This window comes from Homo sapiens, chromosome 2 (assembly GCF_000001405.40).
Source record: "Homo sapiens chromosome 2, GRCh38.p14 Primary Assembly".
NCBI lineage: Eukaryota > Metazoa > Chordata > Mammalia > Primates > Hominidae > Homo > Homo sapiens.
The window spans coordinates 205,399,460-205,419,626 of NC_000002.12; the positions used below are offsets into that span (position 1 = coordinate 205,399,460).

The 20,167-nt window shown below is 36.8% G+C and overlaps 1 protein-coding gene across 16 annotated transcripts in view; it reads left to right on the plus strand.

Annotated features, from left to right (window-relative positions):
- PARD3B (par-3 family cell polarity regulator beta) overlaps positions 1–20,167 on the plus strand; it is a 1,074,688-nt gene that overhangs the window by 853,985 nt on the left and 200,536 nt on the right. For all 16 annotated transcript variants that reach the window (XM_047443208.1, NM_001302769.2, NM_205863.4 and 13 more), the window contains one exon: positions 1,554–1,664. In XM_047443208.1, coding sequence (XP_047299164.1) covers positions 1,554–1,664 — 111 coding nt within the window. The remainder of the gene's footprint in view (positions 1–1,553; positions 1,665–20,167) is intronic.

Genomic DNA, 20,167 nt, shown 5'->3' on the forward strand with positions numbered 1-20,167 from the left:
TTCTCCTGCCTCAGCCTTCTGAGTAACTGGGACTACAGGCATGCACCACGACGCCCGGCTAATTTTTGTATTTTTAGTAGAGACAGGGTTTCACTATGTTGGCCAGGCTGGTCTTGAACTCCTGACCTCAGGTGATCCACCTGCCTTGGCCTCCCAAAGTGCTGGGATTACAGGCGTGAGCCACCACACCCAGCTGCATCTTCTTTTTTTATTTCAAATGTGCAGTTTTCATTTTCCTAAAAGTACAAAACATATATGGTATTTTTGTAAAGCATCATAACTGCCACTGTGCCCTTGTAACTATATACATCCCAGGCACTCAGGAATGCTCAGAACATACTAACCCAGAGAAACCTCCCTTTCTGGGGAATTGTATTATATTTTCATTGTGTTCCAGAGCTGACTCAGGAAGCTGGGGCTGCATTAGAGAGTGATTGTGCATAAAGGAAAGCGTACAGGCAGAGATCGGGTTCTAATCTCAGCCCTGCCCTGACTCTGGTGGGAGGTCTTGGTCAAGGTTCGACACCTCTCAGAGCTTTTGGTTCTTCACTGGTAAAATGAGAGCATTGAACGAGGTGTTCAATAAGGCCTCTCGTGGCACTGTCATGGTGTAATTCCAGGAGTTTACCTTTAAGTGCCAATGACACTGGAGCTCGGGAAGCCTGCTTAGGAGATTGATAAGCTTTTATTTATATATTAATGATAATTCTTTAGTTTCTCACTCTCTATTGCATTAATAGGTCATCATAATTAGTCTTGAATATTTGTCTATCTAAATAATAAGGAAAATTTTCAAATTATGTATGCTTAGGCTGCCCCTTCTCCCCTACCTTCTGTCGACACATACAAAGGGAATCAGAATCTCATCACAGGAGGACCTGACGTACACATTTTAAAGAAAGTCCTGGCAGTAGCTTACATCTATAATCCTAGCACTTTGGGAAGCCAAGGTGGGCAGATCACTTGGGGCCAGAAGTTCAAGACCAGTCTCGCCAACGTGGTGAAACCCCGTCTCTACTAAAAATACAAAAATTAGCTGGGCATGGTGGTGTGAACCTGTAATCCCAGCTACTCAGGAGGCTGAGGCACGAGAATCGCTTGAACCCCGGGTAGCAGAGATTTCAGTGAACGAAGATCACACCACTGCACCTCAGTCTGGGTGACAGAGTGAGACGCTGTCTCAAAAAAAAAAAATAAAAACTAAAGAAAGTCCTACCTCTAAGCAACCTGAGTAATAGAAGAATCACAAAACAAGCTGATGTTTCTGTCTTTCTCAGACTTCCATAAAAGCACGTGATATTGTGCATGATGCATGATAAATATGAGTGAAAAGAAGGAAGGAAGGAAGGAAAGAAGAGAGAAAAGGGGGAATTTCATAATGGCATTATTTTTCTGCTTTCATTATCTTATTTTAGTTCCATTTTATGCAAAATGATCTTGACTTACTTAGAATAAAGAAGTATGACTTAATGAGCTCATCCCATAAATATCTTAGCTCTACCGCAAAAACAATGTGATTATTGTTAACAGCCTTCTCCTTCACGTTTCACTAGATTTGGAAAGAAGAAAGAGGATAAGGGTGGAAAGGCTGAGCAGAAAGGTACTCTGAAACATGGTGGCCTGAGAGAAGAAGAGCTGGAGAAAATGAAAGAAGAGCGTGAAAGGTGAGCAGAAGTGCCGAGACCTTCATTTTCTTTGACTCTATGGTCTGGGTTTAATTTAGATATTGCAACAGTCAACTGGAGAAATTTCATTTTAAGAAGTATAGGGGTTGACCGATCTGAAAGGAAAGGTGTCTGATACAAAAAGAACCTCCCTTTCTGGAAATTTTTATTCTATTTTGAGAAGAAATTTGCTTCATGTTTTTACTATATCAGTGCCTATAATTCCATAACACACTACCACCTGTTTTGACCATAAAAATGCATATTTTCTCCATGTCTTTTTTTTTCCAAAGAAAGGTCATTTGGATATTGATGTTTAGAACTATCCAGTTCCCATAGTCTGTTCCTAATTTTAGTCAGGCTGTTGTATACCTTCTTAATTTTATTCTGCGCAATCCGTTTGGGTCCTGTAATTTGAGAAGTGAATGTCCTTCATTCTTTAAAAAGACACTGTCTTTTATTAGGCTATCAGCAAGCTGAAGAGTATGTTGCCCATCTGTTAAAGGGCCGGCTTCATTTGCTGGAATAATGCTGGTTTGCAAGAGCTGAATTCTCCTGCTTGAGGAGCTTAATGTTCCATTTGGACAAGAGGTCCTTCACGTATCTTTGATGTTAACTCTGGCACTTATCGCAAGTGGATGTGTAAATGTCTGATTTTCAAACATGTAATTGAATGTTCATATTTCTCCTGAAAATTCTTTGCCTTCACAACTAAATGGAGCTTGGAGAAAGACTGAGATTATGACAAAACCAGCATATAATTCTAAGCGTTTGATTCTGACTTCATCGTGTATGTACTCAGATTTACACAACTTTTCACTTGCTTATTAGTTACATTAGTTCTTATAGTTTCTAAAGAGACCATTCTTGTATTGATTTTATTACTTTAGTATGTGTACTAAGAAAATCATATCTATTCATTGTGTTTTCTAGCACAGAGGAGTCTAAGAGTATCTACTGTTAGCCTTTGACCCCTATTTTGTAGTCTGTTCCCGTTGAGAAGGCTGACTTTTTCAATAGCAAGGAAAAAAAGCTATTTAGTCCTTTCTCATTTTTGAGAGGTTGATAAGCTGAGTTCTAAGGTCACTGGAGCAGTTAAAAGGAAATCAAGTGTTTTACATTGTTGTTGACTATTCACCTGACAGAGCTATCCTGAAGACATGAAAGATATTCTCCGTCATAACCTAAGATTCAGCAATCCTGTAATGTAAAATGTAATCCAGGCTGAGATTTTAATGCATATATTGGCAAAGGCATCTATGTGGGGAGCCTACATCATAGATCTTTGCTGCTCCCTTGACTTCTCTTACTGAGGTTACATCCCATGCCTCATCTTCAGGAAACTGAGCTGTTTTCTAGAATGCAGACTTTACATTTTTTTGTAGCTCATACTTACTTGGGACAGGGGAAAAAAACTCTTAGTAGCTGGGGAACTGTGTGCCAGCTAGAAAATTGATAACCCATAAAATAAGGTGAGTTGTCTTTAAGCAAGGGTTCATTTCCTTTCTGGTTTTGCCTTTAGTAGGCAGGTGCCTGAGGGAGCCTTGTTCTTAAAAGCTGAGCTGTAAATTCACTTCAGCTGGCTGTATAGGCTTCGGATCCAATTTTCTTAAAATATGTCTGGTCAAAATAGTGAAAGAACTATACTATTAGCCTCCACTTAGGCCACTTCCCACACATGAACACATAAAACACATCTGATAGGGGTTTCCTAGAGACAACATTGTCTCAATCATGTGCTAGAGGAAGAAGTTGAGGAGTTGATTTTATGGTTGGGTGCTATAGAATTAATGACCAAAGGCATTTCAACAGCTCAGGGGCTGAGAGCCACGGATGGTGGAGGTGGAGGCTGAACATCTGGCATTGCTCCCAACCCTGGAGTCCTGATCCTTAGCTCTCCATCATCTATGGGAAACCAATTCACAACTCTTAAAGAACTCAGCGAGTGTATCACTCTTCATGATATGGCAATGAAAAAAAATAGAATAGAGTAAGAAATAGTGATAAAACCTATTATACTTTTCTCCTAATATGTTTGAAATTTGTTTCTTTGACGTGATTCAAGCCATCCTGTTGCTTACTTGTCTCATCCTGTCATAGGTATCATAATAGATTTACATTAGCATATCTCATTTTCAAAATATTTAATGCACCTAAATAAAATATATACCATAAAGTACTGGAGCCAGCTTGTACCAGCTTATAGGAACCAATTGTTAAACTTTCAAGAATTTTGTAAGCTGGCTGATAAGCCATTGGCAGTTCGACATTGGCTATAGTGAGTATATTTATAGCACAGTTTCTCTGAAGACCTAGTTTACCAGCACACTGCTACAGGTCTGTGACAGCTATCTTTAGTGCATATCCAGGAGGCAATTATCCAAAGAGGCAGGAAAAAAAAAACCAAATTCAACCACATGATTTCTTGTAGCTGAGTTTCTCAAAATGTGGTCCAGGGACCAACTACATCAGAATGAATCATTAGAAGACCTTGTTAAAAATGAAGATTCCTGAGCCCCATACCAGACTTACAGAATCAGAACCTTGGGAGTTGGAGCCCAGGAATCTGTGTTTCATACACAAGCCCAAGGTGATTCGTCAGCAGTCTCTAAAGTCTGAGAACCACTGACTTGGAGGAGCAGAATTTGGCTATAACATAAAACTATTCTTATTTAGTGAAAAATGATACACAGGATTTTTTTCTCAAAAGGACTGAGTGGCCCAGTCTACAAATATTTTCCTTGTTCTTCATGTACCTTCTCCGAAATATCTTTTCTTACTGGTACAATCTTTTGTAAACAAATTAGAAACCCTAGCCAGTGCTCACTCAATTAAGGGAATATGGGTCACTTGCCCCCAGCACCCCTCATGCACACAAAACTTACAAAAGCAATATCAGTTCATTAAGAAAATTTTGGAAACATAAAAAGTATAAAAACTATTAAAACCATACATAACTCTACCATAATCCCATAACCACTACTAATATTTTATAATCTTTTTTTTATGCATATACAGTTGGCTCCATATCCACGTCTTCCACATCTGTGGATTCAACCAACCGCAGATTGAAAATATTTAGAAAAGAAATTTCACAAAGTTCCCAAAAGTAAAATTTAAATTTGCTGTGCCAAGTACTACATTGAAGCTATGCAAATGAAGTGATGTGTAGGCACTGTAATAGGTATTATAAGTAATCTAGAGATGATTTAAAGTATATGAGAGGATATACATAGGTTATATGCAAATATTACTCCATTTTATATCAGGGAGTCGATCATTCACAGATTTTGATATCCACAGAGTGTCCTAGAACTAATCCCCCATGGATACCAAGTGACAACTCTCTTTGAACACTTGATATCCAAAACCTGCATCTATAACATCTTGCTTTTTTCATAGCATTATATGTTGAACATTTTTCCCATGTCATTAATGTTTTAAAATATGTCATGTTGATCACTGCCTAATATTCTATGAGATCAATATACGATAAACTATTTACCTTCCATTGTCAAACATTTAGTCTGTTCCCATTTTTATCCCTTTTTTCTTTCCTTTAAAAAAAAAATGGAGACAAGGTCTCGCGCTACGTTGTACAGACTGGTCTCTAATTCCTGAGCTCAAGTGATCCTCCTGCCTCAGCCTCCCAAGTGCTGGGTTTACAGGCAGGAGCCACCATGCCCAGACTGTTGCCATTTTTCACTGTTTCAAATAATACTTGGATGAATATCCAGGTACAAATGTCTTTATAAGTTACCTCCTAAATCATATAATCCTATTGAAGTTTTAATTTCCTTGTAATCATTTTACCCTAGGATTGATCTAACCTCAATTCTAAATTTTAGGATTTTATATTCTCTCTCCCCATTCATCTAATTTTTTTGTGCTGATTTTCATATCTCATTTTAAGTTATCTACATATCTAATTCCTGATCCGAAACCATTTTGCTGCTATATATGGATAGTTTATCTATAGCTACATGTACTGAAAAAGTCCAAAAAGCCATAAAAGATGAGTTGGGTTACTAGATTAGATTAGAGGAATGCAGAGTCTAGAACAGTGGTTCTCAATGGGAGGGGGCAGTTTTACCACAAGGGCATTTGGCTATGTCTGGAGATATTTTTGATTGTCATAACTCGGGAAGAGGGGTGAGCAGTTACTGCCTTTTACTGGATAGAGGCTAGAAATGTAGCTAAAAATCTTACAATGCACAGGACAGCTACCCTCCCCCACAACATGAATCATCCAACCCAAAATGTCAATAGTACAGAGTCTGAGAAACCCTTTTATAATCTCCAGGCTTCACAAAGAGCAAGGTACTCTCCTAGACATCAGAATTGCATTGTGTCATATTTCCTGTGGATAATGCAGAGAAATCTAGATCAGATGATATAACCCTAGAAGGATTATTAGCTATTTGAGAATGGTACCCAAACATTACTGATGAATATCCCATCAATCTAAGCTTGCAAGAATAATTTTTTTCGTTAAAATTTATTTTTAACCTTGGCCTGCTGAGCATCGGCGTTAGTGATGGTGACCCGTTGATCAGATTGTGGTTGCCACAAAACTTCAGGGGTTGACAATATGTCCGATGACAGAATCAGCAGGAACAATGGACTGAATTAAACGTAAAGAAAGTTAATGGAAATAAATGTAAAGTCTTGCATTTAGGTCCAAAAATGAACTACACATACACAGGATGTGGAAGGTTTGATTTAATAACAAATATATGAAACATTTGCCTGATGGTTTTAGTTGAGCATAAGTTTAGCATGAGTCAACATGTGGATATGCCTGCCAAAAGCTTAATCTGGTCCTAAGCTACATTACTGGAAGTTCATGTACAAAATAAAGGAAGCAACAATAATTCTAATTTTACACTGCTTAGATCACACCTGGAATATCCCGTGCCTCTCTCTCACACAGAGCATGCGGGTACTAAATCCAAGTCTTATTAAAAATGTTGAAAGACCTGAGAATACACAGCTTACAGAATCAAGACTTTGTGGATTTCTCATGCTTGAAGAACTGTCACATAGAGATTAGATCGGTTTTGTAGCATCCATTTTATTCCGTTCTACTTTATCAGTTTATTTGCTTATTCATCCATTCATTTATTTACTTTTTTGAAAACAAATTATTTGCTTTAATATTTATTTTCTTATTTATGTATTTGTCTCTTGAAGATACTAATGGAGCATTATTTTAAGAGAGGTAGTATTCAGCTTAATGGAAGGGAAAAGTCCTTAAAATTAGGGTGCAGTATGAGGCAGTGAGTTTGTTGACACTGAAACTGTTGAATAAGAAGCTAATGAAATGATTACATTTAGAAAGCATTAGTTCATCACATAAATATTGGACTAGATCAGAGTTGTATAAATTTCAGTCACTGATCTATTTCCTTTATTGTCTTAATTATATTTATACATAATCAAATAAATAAAATATTATAAAAATCATAGCCATGTAAGTTAGCTTATCTAATTAAGTACATTAAGCCACATAGCACCTAAAATCTTCTTGTGTATCTTTTTTTTTTTTTTTTTTTTTTTTTTTTTAAAGACAGAGTCTCACTCTGTCACCAGGCTAGAGTGCAGTGGCATGATCTCGGCTCACTGCAACCTCCACCTCCCAGGTTCAAGCGATTCTTCTGCCTCACCCTCCCGAGTAGCTGGGACTACAGGCACGCGCCACCATGCCCAGCTAATTTTTGTATTTTTAGTAGAGATGGGGTTTCATCATGTTGGCCAGGATGGCCTCAGTCTCTTGAAATTGTGATCCACCTGCCTTGGCCTCCCAAAGTGCTGGGATTACAGGCATAAGCCACTGCACCTGGCCTTCTAGTGTACCTTAAATGCTACTTTGTCCTTAGATGATCTCTGGGGTTCTTTTCAGATATTCCAGTATGAGAAATATCTAAATATCTTAAGTATGGAAGCATTTACTTTTACTTTTCTAGAGCAATAATTATTGAACTTGTCATGGCATTGGTTTATGGTAGTGCATACACCATTGTTACCTGAGTGTATAAGCCCAAGTTTCTTGCTCAAGATTGTGTGGTAGGATTTTCTTAATCTCAAGTAAGAGATTTCTCAGCTTATGATGTGTCACCTCCTGTTACAAGTCAAACAGTCTATTGCAATGAAGCCCTGCATTAAATAAACTCATCATTTTGTTCATGCTTCAGTGAGATTAGCCATAATAAAAGATTAGTTCCAAAGGCCCATATTCATTGCTAGAGATATGAACCCAGTGTTATATTCAAAGATGATTTCTTCCAACATTTTTCAAACTAAATTAAATTAGCATTTTTCACACATTCAGATTATGTAAATTAGCATCTTGAGCTGAAAGCAAGAGATTGTCTTAATATGTCAGTAAGTATATATTGTTGTTATTCAATTCTAAGACCTAAGTTTGTAACCTTTTACAAAGTATGAAATTAATCAGAATCTTGGACCTGTAAAATACCAAACTAAATACCTGTATTCTTAATACCATCTCAAAAATCCAGTGGAGATTGGTTAAAAGAAAAATATGTCCCCCTCCTCATCATTAATTTAGTATTACTATCCTGAGAAAAATATCTCCACTGACACCAAAGACTGTCTTCCATTGAAGTCCCATATTACTGACCCTGAAATAATACTTCAGTAAATGAAGTTTTCTCCTAAAATTGAAAAAAAAATTTTAATAACATGAGTTATATACTCCAAAATCTTCCATTACTCTTATACCATATCAGAGTTTATTTTGCAGGAAGCTCATTTGTTGTATTAATTAAACATTGCTTTCGTAGATCTTACTAGAATCTTAGCAGGATACATGAGGAGATGGGAGAAAAAAAAGATCCAACCTCTTCAGCTTCAGCATTGAAAAGTATGAAAACATATGGCTCTTGTTTTCAACAACTAGCCTGAACGGAATGTCTAAGTGAGAGTGAAGCTAAGATTTAGGAAAGTTAATCGGTTTCAGTGTCTGAATTCAAGGTTCTTAGTTTTCTTTCCTTTTGGGAAGCCTTCCAAGAACTGCAGACTTCTCCCTTGCCTTATCAGCTGAGCTGCTTGTGGCCTGTTCCCTTTAGTTTAAATCAATACATGTGTTTTTGATATTTGGCAAACCAAGATTTAATTATGCAGCTGCAAGTTCCCCACATAAACGAAATGCATCTTAGAGATATAAAAACATTCAGAAACCATTTATAGTTTGAGAATTCAAGTGGGTGAAAATCTATTCCCAACCTCTCAGCATTTTATTTAATTATGGAGGATTTTTATGTTACTGGAAATTGAAATGAAAACCAGAGTAAGGCTAGAGTTTATCCAACATTTGTTCATATTGAAAAATGAAGATGCTTATTAGAGTCGAAGAAGGAAAAGGAAAGTATTACATTCTGGAATTAATATTTTGGTTGTAATCTACACACATATAACGCTCCTAAATATATACAGCAACAAGTGAATTGATAGTATTTTGTCATTATTGTACACTCAAAAAAGGATGTATTAAAGAAACCAGAAGGTTGATTTCTTTAATTTGCCAAGCAATTCTCAATAATTAATTATTTACTGAACTTAATAACTTTGGCACTATTTAAACTGTTGAAAACACCCATGTTTTGGCATGATTACATACACATGATTAATTCAGCATGGTTTTACTCATCACTGAATATCCCTATCTTTTGCAGTAGAATTTTCTAGGTCCTGTGGTTTGGGTAAAATGTTGGAATGATTCCCAGTTTTAATAGTCCCAATTTATTATTACTAGTGAACCCTGATCAGATCATGGGCTGGATTAGATCCCAGTTTTTCAAAATGCCCCAATTTATGGCTCCCTTAAAATGCTGGTAAAAATGTGTATTTGAATAAGGCTTTGGTTGGCTAAAAAAGATCCAGTTAATTACTTTTAGATCCTTATTAGATCATCACTGCATGGAAGTTATGAAAAATCTTACTTGGTGGTGTTTCTCAGGACAAGGACATGTTCTCTTTTTATGCTGACAGAAAGAAGCTATCAGATTTCTGTTTTTCATAGTACTAACCAACTCAGTGAATGAAAAGAGATCTTTCTGTATCCCTGTGATTACTATTGATGCTCGTGTAAAGGTAAAAATATCCATCTTTCCTAGAATGAGAATTAAAAATATAGAGAGAGAAAGAACATAAACACAATGGCATAGTAGCCATACACCCACACTACTCTTTATTTGGGGGCCATTTTTCAAAATTTGCCTCTGATTTAGAGAAATTAGGGATTTAGACACAGCCCGGGGTGAAGGTAGCTTTAATATCTTTACATTTATTTGATCTCTGTAACACCTATCTTCTCAGAAATGCTTGCGGTCACCAACAAAACTTGGCACATTACTGTATTTCTATAGACCAGAGATGGAAACACCTACATCCTAATGCCATGCCAGCATTTTTTATGAGCCAAAATCCTTTTATGGGACTTGAATCAATGTTAGAAGTGCTGTATTAGCAACTGCTTGTCAGCCGAGCTGGATTAATACATAAAATGAATCACTTGACTGGCATGCTTTCCAACAGTCATTTAGGCAAACTTCTATGAAGTACACCAGCTCTCTACAAATTGTTTTAAATAATTTTAAATATTTTTAAAGAATTCATGTACCCTGGAGTGATGTATTACTTTATCGTATGTAGTTGCAGGGCTGTTGGAATACATTCTGAAAAGGAATTATACTGAATTACCTAGAACGATTCCACAGAACTGTTTAGAGTATCTGACCTGATAAAAATGTGGAAAGAAATTTTAAATTTCGCTGATCCAGGATATTTGGTTGTAATATAAACGTATTAAATACAGAAATAGATATTCAATGTAATCCATAATTTTTTTGTAATTCACTGGATTTTATGCCAATCAGAGATACCAGAGCTGTACCTCAGAGATACAGGTTGAATATCCCTTATCCAAAATGCTTGGAACCAGAAGTGTTTCAGACTTTGATTTTTCTTTTATTTTGGCATATTTGCATTATGTTTACCAGTTGAGCATTCCAAATCTGAAAATCTAAAATCAGGAATGTTCCAATGAGCATTTCCTTTGAGTGTCATGTCAGCCCTCAAAAAGTTTCAGATTTTGGATTTTCAGATTTGGGATGCTCAACCTATACAGATAAATTTACTTTAATGGGGATTAAATACAGCAGTGGCAGAATTTGAGAAGAGCATTTTCTGTGAAAGCTTTGGGGGACTGTAAGTAGGTAGAAGGCTGTTTGGTGACTAGAATTTAGGAATGAGAGCTTCTGTTTTATTATTCATTTTCGTGGCATTGGATAAGCCACTTTTGAGGATGTATTCTTATAGTTTCTATTTTTAGTACCATGAAATAAAATGGTAATAATAATACTTAAAGGCCCCAGTTTCCTACATTTTGTTTGGATAAAATGCTTTTTAACTTCTAAGATCTTTAGAAGAAAAAATTTGCGTAAATAAAAGTTTAGTGAACCCAGAATATTTTCTGTAGGCCGGTTTGGGGCTGGATAATATACTAGTAATCTTAATTTGCTGAAACTGGTCTCTGAAAACTGTGGATATATCAAACTTCTGTAAATCAAATATTTTAAAAGAATTTGTAAGTCTCTCATCTTCTTTCCTTATTTGAACATTTGTTATATCCTGCTTTGGGAAGCTTTCATGACAGGCCAAGTGTAGTTAATGTTCACATAGGTTGGCAAACTCTATATGATTTGAAAGGATGCTCAATCTATTGTCTTCTGGAATCTTCTCCCCCGTCACCACCCGGCCTCCACCCGCCCCATACCCTTCACATAGAAATACTAACCTAGGCCTGTGATTTACAAACTCCAAACTTTGAATATGCTTTTTCTGCATTTCCTGGACAGCTTTTTACATCAGTGGTTCTCAACTTTGGGTGATTCTGACCCCAGTGGGTATTTGACAATGTCTGAGAACATTTTTAGTTACCATACTATGGGGGAAGTGCTACTGGAATCTAGTAGGTAGAACTCAAGCATCTTTCTCAGCGTCCTATACTGCATAGGACAGCCCCCTGCAACAAAGAATTATCTGACTCATGACATGACTTGTGCCAAGGTTGAGAAACCATATTTTAGATAGATAGATAGATATAATAGAAATATACTACAGATATTTTAGTAAGTCTGTAGTTGAACCTAAGGATATGTATTTTGAAATTATTTCTCAAGTGATTGTCATTTATAGCCATGTTTGGGACCAACTAATGTAGGTGATGGCCCCAGAGAGATGCATGGCCAAATGGAAAGATTACAAGGCCCAGGAGTGGGTTAAAGATGACTCTGCATGAACAAACTTATCTGCTTCAAGTCTCATGTGTTAAATGAGAAACCTGTCTTTCAGATTGTTGTGAAAATTAAAAGCAATATTTACGAAGCACGCACTGGTTCAGTCTAGGTGCTGACTGTTATTTTCTGACCTGCTTTGGGAATTAAAACCCCAGATAACCCATACAGTAGCCTTTGGGAGCCTAGAATGCTCTGAGACACACCATCTGTGAAAGTTGCTGAATTGGATCCTGTTATGATGAAGGAGGCCAAGTTGAGCGGAGACTTTGCCCAGCTGGGAGTCATGCCAGATACTTCCATTCAAGAAGCTTCTCCTCATTTTTTATTGATCGCCGGTTGGAAGTTGCTCCTCAAGCATAGTGAGCTTGGCATGAGATGGCAGCACAGTAGTGTGGGGGGTGCTGGCTGCAGCCAGTTCTTGGCAGCCCTGGAAACACATTCAGGGAGAAGGGACACAAATGGTGTGGGTGACTGCCAGCCTCTCCAAGTCCACAGGGCGTGTGACTGCAGAAAACACTTGTAACCACTGTCATTAAATTCACAAAATTCTCATATTTGCATTTCCATTCTATATATTACATTAAGGGGGTGGCAACTCCGATCTGCTAATATTTGGAATCCAGTCTTTGGAGGAAATGGGATGAAAATGTCCTTTTCTTCCCATTCCACTCTTTCCCAGCTACCTGCCTTTGCCCTGGAGTATAATTACTTAATGACCTTACAGTGCATCTGAAGGAAATTCAGATTGCTGTCCCAAGGAATCTGACCCCTTTCCCAGGCACAAACTCCTGCCTTTTTCTGGTTTGTGTCCTTTGTTAGCATCTCATATTGAGAGTTAGAGAGGCTGAAGTGGTTTGGGCTGTGCACAGAAGTGGCACAGAAGCCTGCTTCTCCAAGAGGTCGTGGAAAAGCCCCCTCAACCATATTAAACAACAGTAACAACAATGGGCTGTTTAGATGGAAGATATAAGTATTCATGTTCTTGGAGAAACTTACATAGATAATTTCTGAAGTTATGATTTCTTGAAGCAGAGATTATTAAATTATGACAGGTTGGAGATGAATGAATCAGTGATAATTGCTTTGATCAAAGTCATTCCTCTCTCTCAAACTTTCAGTGGCTCTCTATTGCCTACTGCATACAGTGCAAACTCTTTGTCCTAACACATCTGACTTTAACCTTTCTAATCATAATTTCCACCCCTGACCAATATGACCCCTATACTCAGCCAATCTGGAATGTTCATACTTTCTGAGATTAACACTTTCCAATCACTGTGCCATTTCTAGTACCATTTCTGCTGTCTGGAATGCTCTTCTGTCTGAGTTGGTCCGAATGAATGGAAATTCAATGAAACCTCGCTTTCTCCATTATACCTTCTCAAACTACCTAAGTTGGAAGAGAATTCTTCCATTACCTATCCTGGGTCAAGTTGCTTGATTGTGGTAATTTTCAGTTTCTTTACCTACAAAATGGGTATATAACATCATAGGAATGTTGTGAGAATTAAATAAGACTCTGAAGTGAAGCATTCAGAATAGTGCCAGGCACAGAGACAGCCAATAAATGGTGAACTTACTATTTTTCTTCGTCTTTCTTTGAAAGAGAATGAACATGAGTATCAAACTGTTGGGTTTGAAGCCTAGCTGTTCCCTGTACTAGCTGTGTGATGGTGCATGTTCTGAGAAAACTTTCTGATCTTGATCATTTGAAGAAGAAAAAAAGGATAAAAATATCTAGCCTTCAGAGTTCCTATAAAATTTACATAACATGAAATACTTAAAGTACCTAGAACTGTGCTTGGCACATAATAGATACACATTGTCATTATTATTGTTGTTATTTTTCTGCATGGAATCGTAGATGTTTGTATTTACAAACATGCCTTCTCTCCCTTACTACCTCACCATTTCCTTGGGGTGAGGATGATATTGTAATCATTTTTCTGTTTCTCTCAGGATCTAATACATTATGTTTCACAGAATAGGCACTCAATAAGTAGTTGCTGAATAATGGATGAATGAATGAACAACTATAAAACCGTACTGATTTTAATTTTATTTTTCAAGTGAATAATTGCTGCAATGGAACTAAGAGCAGAATAGGCTAAATCAATGGTAGACAAAGCTATAGCGTTTAGAGATATAAGACTTTCCCTGGGCTATGAAATGGTGTCAAGAAATATGAGGTTATTTGTAACTGGCAGTAGGACAGTGGAAATGAATCATTGAAGCATAGTGGCCAGTCCATCAGGACTATCAACACTTGTTTCCCTGTGGCTGAACCAGATCCTGAGAGACACAGCCTTAAAGTGAATGAAATTTCATCCACTTCACAGGGAAATGAAAATGCTGTGGGCCCAGAGAGCTGTTGTTTGTTGTTGTTTTCAAATTGGGCTTGTGTCCCCATCCCCTTTCATTGACTTAAATTTAATCAGTTGAAATTAGTTTTAAGTACCATTTATTTTAACCTTTTAAAATGGAAGATACGCCTTTTTAGGGAAAATTGAATTTGGTTGTATGGATGAGACACACTGTCCTTGGCTTATTCTTGTCAAATGAGGATATTTTTGTGCTGTATTTTGAGCTGATTCAGTCAGAATTCATGGTGCTGATTGTATTTTGGGGGCAGGCATAAAAAACTAATGTAGATGGAAGATCATGAAAAATGGCAACAGCCATTTGTGATGTATCAGATGCCATCAAGCTACTCTTTCAAGGAGGCAATAGGACTAAACTCCAAGCCCGTGATTAGGAGTCCATATCATAATTACATTAGAGCCTTTGTCTTGTAAAATATTTCTAATCTATATTCTCCTGCAATTACATGTCTTTTCTTCATGTCTAAGTCCTAATTCTCTTGAGGCATAGATTGTAACTTGTTTCATTTTCTTACATCTCAGTAAAGAGAAGATATTCAGTAAAGTCCTGGTTGACTTAAAAGTATAAAACAGCATTAAATTTTGAGTAAGTTACTTAGATAATTTCAAAAACTGACAACATTTTATTAATCAGTAGGAAAAGAATAACTATCTATTAAAATATCTTGCCAAACATTCTTGCTTATTTTTGAAAGTATAGTGGCCTCCTTAAAAATTACCTTGATTATAATAGTATGTACCAGTTTTTTAAAGTAAAGAACAAATGAGTAGATGAGGAATTGCTTAGACTAATCATTTTTTGAAATAATAGTGGACTCTATTATTGACAGCATCAACAGCTAATTAAAAATTCTATTAGTGAAGATGTAAAAGATGGCACATTTCCAATCTAGATTGACACTGAGGACATAGACATAATTGATATTTGTTCAATAATCCTAAAATGTTTCACAGTCTCTAATAGAGGCTGTGATTGCCAAAGAAAGTTTCAAGTGCTAAAAATATATATATTCTAGGCACTTAAAGATATTTTCAGATCAAATAATGCACCTTTAAAAAAAAGTAAAATTTTAGCTGAATGAGCATCAAAGGATATTTTAGTGGGTTGACTTTGTTTTAAAAAAAAACACAGAGTCAAGATAATGTATGGTGTGATTCACATGTTTTTAATCTGGTTATAGTGGATGTAATAAGAAAGTCAAAAGAGGATAATTTGCTAGTTGGACTTTTAAATTTTAGAGAAGTATTTTGTAATGGTCACATAAATGAATGCATATTGAAAAAATCTGCAATGACCATTAAATATTCCACTTTGGAAAAACAAGATCATAGCTTTAACAAAATGCTTCAATATTATAGTTCACTGCTTTTGACAATATTAAACCCAAATTGAATATGTTTCTATATAGGATATTTTCACACGGCAACTTAAAAACTTGGCATAATAATTTTCCTACTTTTGATAATCAATTCTGCTCCCAATAATTATAGATTTACCTCACCAATTATTTCAAAGGATGGACAGAGAAGTAAAGCCTTGCCGAGAAAGGTAGTAAGTGAAACCAGAACATTTTACAAAATGTTAAGAAATGGGCACTTAATTCTTGAGGAAACATAACTCATTTCACCAGCAAACAAAAATCCAATGCCAAGAAAACTGACATTATGCTAAAATATTCAATGTCTCAAGTGTGTATACGACTTAAGGTAAAAATGGATGCCTAATATCATCAGTGACCAATTCATCCCATTGAATGAAAAATATTCAGAGGAATAAGCACACTCTACTGAAGCTAGTTGTGCAATCCTCATTGATCAATTTGAAATAACCACCTACAGATATCAATTACCTTGGTCCATACTGCTCTTGCTCACATAAGCTTGACTGTGCCTCAATTCAAAGAAATTTTTTTTTAATTGTGACATAATAAACTAATATGATGTGTGAACCAACATGGGAATTTAAGTTCTCAAAGATATACTGAAAGATTTTGCCTCTGAGGAGAAACACATTTTACTAAAATCATGCCAATTGACACAGGAAATTTGATGAAGATCTCCAAATATCACAGATTAAACCCGAAATATGTAGTATGTTTTTACAACTTTTCTAGGGCATTTGAAAACATATGCAACTATGTAGACATGTTTATGATTCTATTTACACATTCATTTTTACATTGCCCTATAATCAGATGACACAGGAAAGGAATTTTTTTTCATTTGAAGGAATATGAGAAACAGTTTCAAGCATAGACTAGCTGAGGAGTAGGGGGCTTTATTTTATTACTTTGTGACATCCTGAGGGCATGCTTCTGGTATGAAGAAGACTTAGCTGTCTGAAAGTATTCCTGTTTGTGAGAATACCTTTAATGCTGTGACCCTGGGTGTGCCTGCATGTGTGTGTGTCTTTGTGTGTGATATAGTTACATAGATAGATAATATGTATATAGGCTTAATAGTGTCTGGTAATACCCTGCTACATCCTCTTATGAGCATCTGATAACCATTCCTTAATGAATTGGAAAAGTATTATTTTAGTTAAATGAATGATTACATACTACCTGTTTTCATGCTGTGTATAAAAGGATACCAGTGAAGAGAATTAGGTTCTTGGAGAAACAGGGAGATGTTGAAAAGCAATCAAGAAAAATGTTGGGGGTAAAGGGACTGGAACACCTGTGGGGAAGGCACCATTCCTCCTCACATATGTCTTCATCCCTGAAAATCTGCTAAGCCCTTGGCCTGCAGGTGAGCAGCATGCACAAAAGTAGATTTGTTAATTTTCTGAAAAGAATACAGCTGGCTGGCTCAAAGAGTTAAGGCAACATGATAATAAGGCTGATATCATATAAACTATGCCCCTTTATGGAAGATTGATGCATTAAAAAAAATCATGTAAGTATCCACTGTAGTGCAAGTACTGTAATAGATGCTAAGGACTCAAGGATTAATTTTTTTTTTAAGGAGAAATAAGATTTCTTGGTCTTCTTACAAGGAGCTCAAAACTGCACTTCCAACCCCAGGTAAACATCTAAAAATATATTCTGTTGGACCTTCAAGGCCTTCAGGCTAAGGGAACAACTGAACCTTTCTTTTCTTTTCTTTTCTTTTTTATTTTACTTTAAGTTCTAGGGTACATGTGCACAACGTGCAGGTTTGTTACATATGTATACATGTGCCGTGTTGGTGTGCTGCACCCGTTAACTCGTCATTTACATTAGGTGTATCTCCTAATGCTATCCCTCCCCCCTCCCCCCACCCCCCGGCAGGCCCCAGTGTGTGATGTTCCCCACCCTGTGTCCATGTGTTCTTACTGTTCAATTCCCACCTATAAGTGAGAACATGTAGTGTTTGGTTTTCTGTCCTTGTGATAGTTTGCTCAGAATGATGGTTTCCAGCTTCATCCATGTCCCTGTAAAGGACATGAACTCACCCTTTCTTATGGCTGCATAATATTCTATGGTGTATATGTGCCACATTTTCTTAATCCAGTATATCATTGATGGACATTTGGGTTGGTTCCAAGTCTTTGCTATTGTGAATAGTGCCGCAATAAACATACGTGCACATGTGTCTTTATAGCAGCATGATTTATAATCCTTTGGGTATATGCCCAGTAATGGGATGGCTGGGTCAAATGGTATTTCTAGTTCTAGATCCTTGAGGAATCCCCACACTGTCTTCCACAATGGTTGAACTAGTTTACACTCCCACCAACAGTGTAAAAGCTGAACCTTTATTTTCAGGAGGAATACCTGAGAGATCACCAAAGGGTAGAGCAGACTTGTCATCTCCATACTCAAAAAGTTGCATAGTCTCTCCCATAGTTTATTGGATGCCTCTCTTTGCATCTCATCCTCATGGCCCCCAGCCTGATCTCCACAGGCTAGAGCCTTCCTTGCAAGATCAATCCAGCCCCCTTAACCTTTCACTGAAACACAGAAATTTTTCTGAATCTGCTCTGCATTTAGCAGTTGTAGGCACCCTGCAGATGGGGCCTCCTCTGGAAGCTGGCCTTCTCCGGGAACCCCCAGTGGAGGCCTTTATTGTGTCCCACCCACTTTGTGTGCACTTGAAAATCTAACAAGCATGTGTTTTCCTAATAGGCAGTACTCCTTGGATAAACTATTGTTAATCTGTATCATCTTGTATTCTCTTGTGTCTTTTTTTCTTCTTTCCTCATTTTTCATTTTTTACGTTTTCTCATATGAAAGGTCACCTTTACTTGGTCACTTCAGTGGAATAGTTCCCAATTTCAGGCCTAAAAGCTTATAAGAAAAATGTGTATTTTGATGAATTTTCATACTTTTGATCATCTGGAGAACTAATGTAATCTGTTTTAGGTCCCTGGACCTTTTTCCTTGAGATGTGCTGTCACACCTTTGAATCTGAGGTTAAATTGAAGTTATATGAAATTTTTCCACTTAGAGGATTTGGGTAGATATCTTCTGCTATGATTCACTTTTGACTTTTTAATTTTTTTGGCCTGAACTCTTCAATAATTCAGCAAATATTAATTGAGCATCTAGGCACATGAGGGAAATGGCAAGATGCGTAAAACACAATCTAGTCCCTGCCCTCAACAAGTTCATGATTAAGGAGAGAGCAGAGAGACCAATACACTAATTATAATAAAGCTAACTATGATAAATGCTGAAAGGGGGTTTAAAAATGCTATATGATCACAGAGAAGGCAGCCATGAGAAAATAGTGTTGTAGCTGGGACAATAGGACACACCCTCTTTATCACCCAGTATTTCCAGACACTTGCAATGAAATCATTAGATTCAATTATAAAGTACAACTTAACTGTGCAGCAAATTAGAAGAGACTTTAAAAAATTTAAATTCTTAATCCCATCAATAATACATGATATTTTTGCTGCTGACTAGAGAGAAATTTAAGACTCAGGGAAAATTTTCATTTAAAATCTAAGGGATTTTCCAAGCAATCAGGGTGTTTTCCATTATAGTTTCTTTCTCTAAAGCTGACAGAATATAGTAAAAAGTTTAGGGCAAAACTTTCTGGGAAAATAGCAGTTGAGACAGGCAGATAACTTTGGGTCATAAATTTATATTACTGAATATTCTGCAGATACATACAAAATTTATTTAAATATTTTAAACTATAAACTATAATCTTAGTAGCCTAGAATGTTTGGCCAAAATATTTCTATACTTATAAGTGGGTTACAAACTATTCATTTGTATATAGTACTATGTAATATATATACATACAGTAATACAGCACTGATATGGTTTGGCTCTCTCCCCACCCAAATCTCATCTTGAATTGCAGCTCCCACAATTCCCATGGGTCATGGGAGGGACCCAGTGGGAGGTATTTGAATCATGGGGGTGGGTCTTTCCTGTGCTGTTCTCGTGATAGTGAGTAAGTCTCACAAGATCTGATGGTTTTATAAAGAGGAGGAGTTCCCTGCACAAGTTCTCTCTCTTTGCTGGCCACCATCCATGTAAGATGTGACTTGTTCCTTCTTGCCTTCGCCATGATGTGAGGCCCCCACTAGCCATGTAAAACTGTGAATCTATTAAACCTCTTTTTCTTTATAAATCACTCAGTCTTAGGTATGTCATTATCAGCAGTGTGAAAACAGACTAATACAAGCACCATAGTAAAAAATGGTGGAGCAAATTGAACTTTCTTTACAGTTTTGAAAAACTGAAGAGGCCAACTAGGGTGACCAAAGGTCAGTTTTCCCCCATCTATTGACATAGATAAGGCAGACCCCAGACTGCCAGAAAAAAACAAGTTCCATATTACATACAAGTCACTTACT